Source organism: Homo sapiens, chromosome 16, assembly GCF_000001405.40.
Source record: "Homo sapiens chromosome 16, GRCh38.p14 Primary Assembly".
In the NCBI taxonomy this organism is placed as follows: Eukaryota; Metazoa; Chordata; class Mammalia; order Primates; family Hominidae; genus Homo; species Homo sapiens.
In genome coordinates, this window is record NC_000016.10 from 23754565 (window position 1) to 23760165 (window position 5601).

The 5601-nt window shown below is 52.2% G+C and overlaps 1 protein-coding gene across 1 annotated transcript, besides 1 other annotated feature; it reads left to right on the forward strand.

Annotated features, from left to right (window-relative positions):
• Positions 350-995: an enhancer, noted in NCBI's record as "H3K27ac-H3K4me1 hESC enhancer chr16:23766235-23766880 (GRCh37/hg19 assembly coordinates)". NCBI's record gives its function as "activates a minimal SCP1, AML or CMV promoter by ChIP-STARR-seq in naive H9 embryonic stem cells {active_cell/tissue: H9 hESC(naive)}" and the evidence as "EXISTENCE:reporter gene assay evidence [ECO:0000049][PMID:30033119]".
• On the forward strand, positions 462-4371 carry CHP2 (calcineurin like EF-hand protein 2). Its single transcript, NM_022097.4, has 7 exons — positions 462-552; positions 1097-1169; positions 1283-1363; positions 1499-1629; positions 1824-1885; positions 2637-2759; positions 2966-4371. Exons 1-7 carry the CDS (start codon positions 486-488, stop codon positions 3017-3019), a joined length of 591 nt encoding a protein of 196 aa, NP_071380.1. The 5' UTR covers positions 462-485; the 3' UTR covers positions 3020-4371.
• Positions 4372-5601: the final 1230 nt, after the last annotated feature.

The following is a 5601-nucleotide window of genomic DNA, read 5'->3' on the forward strand; positions in this document are numbered from 1 at the left end:
CCAGGATTCCCTCCCCATAGGCCACCCGCCTTCCAGCAGGGCGTGGTCTCTACAGAGGAGGTCAGGTCTCCCAGGCTTCCTCAGCGTCGACGCCGGGGAGCGCCCTGGGGTTGGGAGCGCCCGGGGCCCGCGAAGGAGGAGGTGGCTCAGGTGTCAGGGCGCACCGTGGGAACCGGCCCCGGGGGAGGCGTGGAAACGCGGGGCCTGGGACTCGACCAGCCTCTCCCGTGCGGATCGCAAAATCTCGGAGCTGAAACAGCCCGTTGTTCGCAGCCTCCCTCTGACCCGCCACCCTGCACATTGTTTTCCATTCGCCCGGGTCGCGGGTGGGAGGAGAGGCACGCCGGGGTTCTGGAGCTTGGCCGCGCGCCAGGCTTGTGGCCTTCGTCCCCCTGGGGCCACTGGGGCGGCCACGCCTCTCCGGCGGGAGGAGAGAACGCGTGGGTCCGGGTGGCTGCTCCGGCCCTTCCGCCTCCAGCTCGGCCATGGGGTCGCGCAGCTCCCACGCCGCGGTCATTCCCGACGGGGACAGTATTCGGCGAGAGACCGGCTGTGAGTGCGCCCGCGTCGGCGGCTGCGGAGGGGACGGGGCGAACCCAGGCGTCTGGGGCTAGGGAAGGGGTTGGGTTGAAGGATGGACGAACTTACAAGTCTGGGGTCCGGGGCTCCCCGGAGCTGGAAGACCAAGGCCCCTGTGCCTGGGATCGCTGGGTTAGGGGCGGGTTAACCTAGGGGTCCCAGCCTCCAAGTCTGGGGAGGATCCGGGTTCACGGGGTCGGAGTCCAGAGGAATCCAGGCACCCAGGTGTCCTCCAGCCCGGCTCGAAGCTGAAGGCAGAGCTGACGGCGGTTGGAAGGGATGGCTTTGGTTCTTTGGTTTTCGGGAGGTTGCGAGCCGCCCGGGTCTTGAACCTGGATCTTCGCGGGGTCGTGTCACTCTCCCTCCGCCCCGGCCAGCTCAACCCCTGATTCCCCGGGATGATCGCCCCTTCCAGCCAGCCCCCGCTGTTCTGGCCCATCTTCCTGGCCTGTTGGGGCGGGTTTCTGGAGCTGGCCCTGCAGAGTCACACACCCCCACCCCACTCTCCTTCCCGCAGTCTCCCAAGCCAGCCTGCTCCGCCTGCACCACCGGTTCCGGGCACTGGACAGGAATAAGAAGGGCTACCTGAGGTGAGGGGGAGCCGGCCTCATAACTTCTGGCCTCTGTCTCTCTGACTCCATGTCCCTCTTTGACCCTCCGTCTGGCATCTCTGCCTTACCCTCTTTGAAATTTGGCTTTGCAGCCGCATGGATCTCCAGCAGATAGGGGCGCTCGCCGTGAACCCCCTGGGAGACCGAATTATAGAAAGCTTCTTCCCCGATGGGTGAGGCTTGCTGGGCGTGGGGAGGTGAAGGCGGGAAAACCGGTGTGTGAGTGGGTGGGAGGGGAGGTTAGAGACGGAGGCAAAGTGATGGCCAAGGTGACCACCACCTCTTTCCATTCTGTCCCGTCTCCCCAGGAGCCAGCGAGTGGATTTCCCAGGCTTTGTCAGGGTCTTGGCTCATTTTCGCCCTGTAGAAGATGAGGACACAGAAACCCAAGACCCCAAGAAACCTGAACCTCTCAACAGCAGAAGGAACAAACTTCACTGTGAGTTTGTGAGGACCTGCACAAGTGAGAATGCAGATGTACCCACACCAGGGACAGGCTCCAGGGATCTCCCACTCCCTTCCTGAGGGCATTGACAACCTCCCCCCTCCTCCAAGGTGGGGGGAAGGAAGGTGGCTGCTGGAAGAGAGCCAGGGAAGACCTACCTTCCTTTCCCCCTCCCACCCTCTCCCCAGATGCATTTCAGCTCTATGACCTGGATCGCGATGGGAAGATCTCCAGGCATGAGATGCTGCAGGTTGGCAGAAAGCGAGAGCAAGAGATGTGATGTGTGAAGGATGGGATGGTTAAATGCAATGGTGTGAGAGATGGGGTGGGATGATTGGGGAACTGGGGCGCAGATAATTGGGGTATTGGTTGGGAAATGGGAATGGGTGCAGTTAGAGTGTGGGTTTGTTGGGAGTCGGAGTGGGGAGCAGTTGACTATGAGGTTGGGAATAGATCAGTGATTCTCAACTGGGGGTGATTTTGCTCCCTGAGTGAATATCTGGCAATATCTGGAGATGCTTTTTGTTGTCACAATGGGGGAGAGAGTGTGCTACTGGCATCTAGTGGGTAGAGGTCAGGAATGTGGCTATATATCATGCAATACCCAGGAGAGCCTCTTCCAACAAGGAGTTACCTGGCTCCAAATGTCAACAGTGCCAAGATTGAGAAACTCTGGAACAGATGTGATGGAATGAGGATGGAATTAGAAACCCTTAGTGGCTAAGGTGGAGAATGGTGTGGAGGATGGATGGAGGTTGGGTGATAAAGTTGGGTAATGAGTTTGAGCATATTTTGAGGGTAGTGCAGGATGGTGAGGGAGAGATAGGAGATTGGTTGTTGAAGCAGTAGGGAAAATTATTGGGGGATATGGTGAAAAATGGATGAAGGATGGATTATAAAATTAGCAATAACTTTTGGGATGAGGTGGGCAAGGTTTAGGAGATGGGGAGTTGCAGCCTTCGTGCCCCCTCCTTATGGCTGCCTCTTCACTCATCTCTCAGGTTCTCCGTCTGATGGTTGGGGTACAGGTGACAGAAGAGCAGCTGGAGAACATCGCTGACCGCACGGTGCAGGAGGCTGATGAAGATGGGGATGGGGCTGTGTCCTTCGTGGAGTTCACCAAGGTCAGAGTGCCCTTGGGGATTGGGGAGTTGAGATCAGGAGTTCTGGGGCAGACAGACTTGGGAAACGTTCAACGGAGGAGGGCGGAAAGATAGGGGTTGCCTGGGAATGATGGGGTCTCTGGAATGGGTAGAACCCTGGGGGAGGAGGTTGGGAGCATGGAGAGCTGAGAGTCAAGCCTCTTGCCTGCCATTTGTTTTTCCCTCAGTCCTTAGAGAAGATGGACGTTGAGCAAAAAATGAGCATCCGGATCCTGAAGTGACTCCGTTTGTGCCTTGGGCTTGCTCCTGCAACCAGTATCTCCTTGGAATTCATCCAAAGCCCCCATGGACGCATGGACGCAGGGCGACAATAAACTGTATTTTCGTTTCTAACTCTATTTAGGGCCAAGAGAAGAAAGCTGGAAGGATGTGTACTAAAGTCTAGCTCAGCAGTCCCCAACCTTTTTGGCATCAGGGACAGTTTTTCCACGGATGGGTGACAGGGGATGGTTTTGGGATGATTCAAGTGCATTACATTTATTGTGCACTTTATTTCTATTATGATTACATTGTAATATATAATGAAATAATTATACAACTCACCATAATGTAGAATCAGCAGGAGCCCTGAGCTTGTTTTCCTGCAATTAGACGGTCCCATATGGGAGTGATGGGAGACAGTGACAGATCATCAGGCATTAGATTCTCATAAGGAGTGCACAATCTAGATCCTTTGGTGTGCAGTTCACAGTAGGATTTGGGCTCCTATGATAATCTAATGCCACTGCTGATCTGACAGGAGGCAGAGCTCAGGCGGTAATGCAAGCAATGGGGAGTGGCTGTAAATATAGATGAAGCTTCAGCTCGCCTGCCGCTCACCTTGTGCTGTGCAGCCCGGTTCCTAACAGACCACAGACCCCACACCAGGTCTATCTCATTTGGTCTCAGAGCTGTGAATCAGCCAGCAATATTTTAGTTGCAAATCACTGAAAACCCAACTCAAAGTGACTTAAGTCAGAAAGAAATTTTATGAATTCAGGTAATTAAAAAGTCCAGAAGTATCTGCCTTTAGGCACAGCTGGATCCAAGGGCACAAATGATGTCATCAGGCTCCAGTTATTCTCCATCTCCCAGCTCAGCTTTTTCTGTCTGTAAGCCTGATTTTCAGGAAGGCTCTTTCCTAGTGATGGAGATGACCACCATCAGCTCCAGGCTTCTATCCTGCTAACCCAGTAACCCAGTGGGAAGAGATTTACTTATTCCAATAATTCCAAGTGGAGAGTGTCATTGACCCGTTTGGGGTCTCATCTCTACTTCTAGGGGAATGAAACACTCTGAGTGGCCAGGCCTGTGTCATGTGCTAATTCCTAGAGCCAGGGAAATAAGGTCTGAGGATTCAGGATGGGGTGAAAGGTGGTTGCTTAAAGGAAAATGAAATACAATTAGCAGAATAAGGGGAAACGAGTGGTCTGCTCTGCTCGGGCAAAACAAGAGATGCCCATTACTGTGAGGGACCCTTGAAGTCTGGACTCTTAAATGGGTTTTTGCTGATTTCCTGGGTGCATGCTAGGATGATGGGGCTTGATGCAGTAGGGAAGAGACGATGTAAAAATAATAAACAATATATACCTTCCTAGAGTGTGAATGCATTCGAAGATTCTAAGAGTAAGCTTGTTTTCATGGTAAGATGTTCAAACATTGATATAAGATGGAATGGAGCAGGAAGTCCCATAAAACTATGAGACTCTATGTCTGCAGCAGAGCTCTCTGGTTGCACCTGTGGGAGACACTGTAATTGCCCTGCTGTTTTTCTCCCTCCCAGAGCTGGTCTTTGGTTGTCTTGTATCATCAACACATGAGAACCAGTTGTGCTCATAACATCTCAACTCTGCTTTCAATGATATGTTAGCAGCTTGAAACTGGCTATAGCAGGAATATTTACACCACAGACATTGGTAACTGCAACAGGTTAAGGCTTTTTCCTCCTGGAAAGCCAGTTGTTAAACATTTATCTGCACACTACCTGCTAGACATTTCCCATTACTTTGCATGCCAATGGTTTCTTTCCTTTTTTCTCCCTTCTTTCTTTCTTTCTTTCTTTCTTTCTTTCTTTCTTTCTTTTTCTTTCTTTCTTTTCTTATCTTTCTTTCCTTTTTTTTTTTTTTTTTTTTTGAGACAGGGTCTAGCTTTGTCACCCAGGCTGGAGTGCAGTGGCAGTCTTGGCTCACTGCAACCTCTGCCTCTCGGGCTCAAGCAATGCTCCCACCTCAGCCTCTTGAGTAGCTTGGACTACAGGCACATGCCACCATGCCTAGCTAATTTTTTTTTTAAAAAGAGGTGGGGTTTCACCATGTTGCCCAGGCTAGTCTTGAACTCCTAGACTCAAGTGATTCACCCACCTCGGCCTCCCAAAGTGCTGGGATTATAGGCATGGGCCACTGCACCCAGCCTTACATGCTAGTGGCTTCTTTTTGCAAGCACTGTGATGCCTTGCTCCAGGGCTTTGCACATATTCAGCCTGTATAAAGGGCAGGGTGGAAGTGCCAGGATTTAATGACATTAGGAGTAGCTCTCAACTAGTGACAGATGGAAATTGGTTGGATAAATACCCATTACTTCATCATTCAGGTGGCACAATTTAGATACATGTTTTCTTAATTTTCATAGCAATTTCCAGCAGATTTGAGCCCCCATTGCTCACAGGGTTAATTCATTTGCTTGTTAAATCACCCTGTCCTGGCCGGGGGCAGTGGCTCAGGCCTGTAATCCCAGCACTTTGGGAAGTCAAGGTGGGCAGATCACCTGAGGTCAGGAGTTCGAGACCAGCTTGGCCAACATGGTGAAACCCTGTCTCTACTAAAAA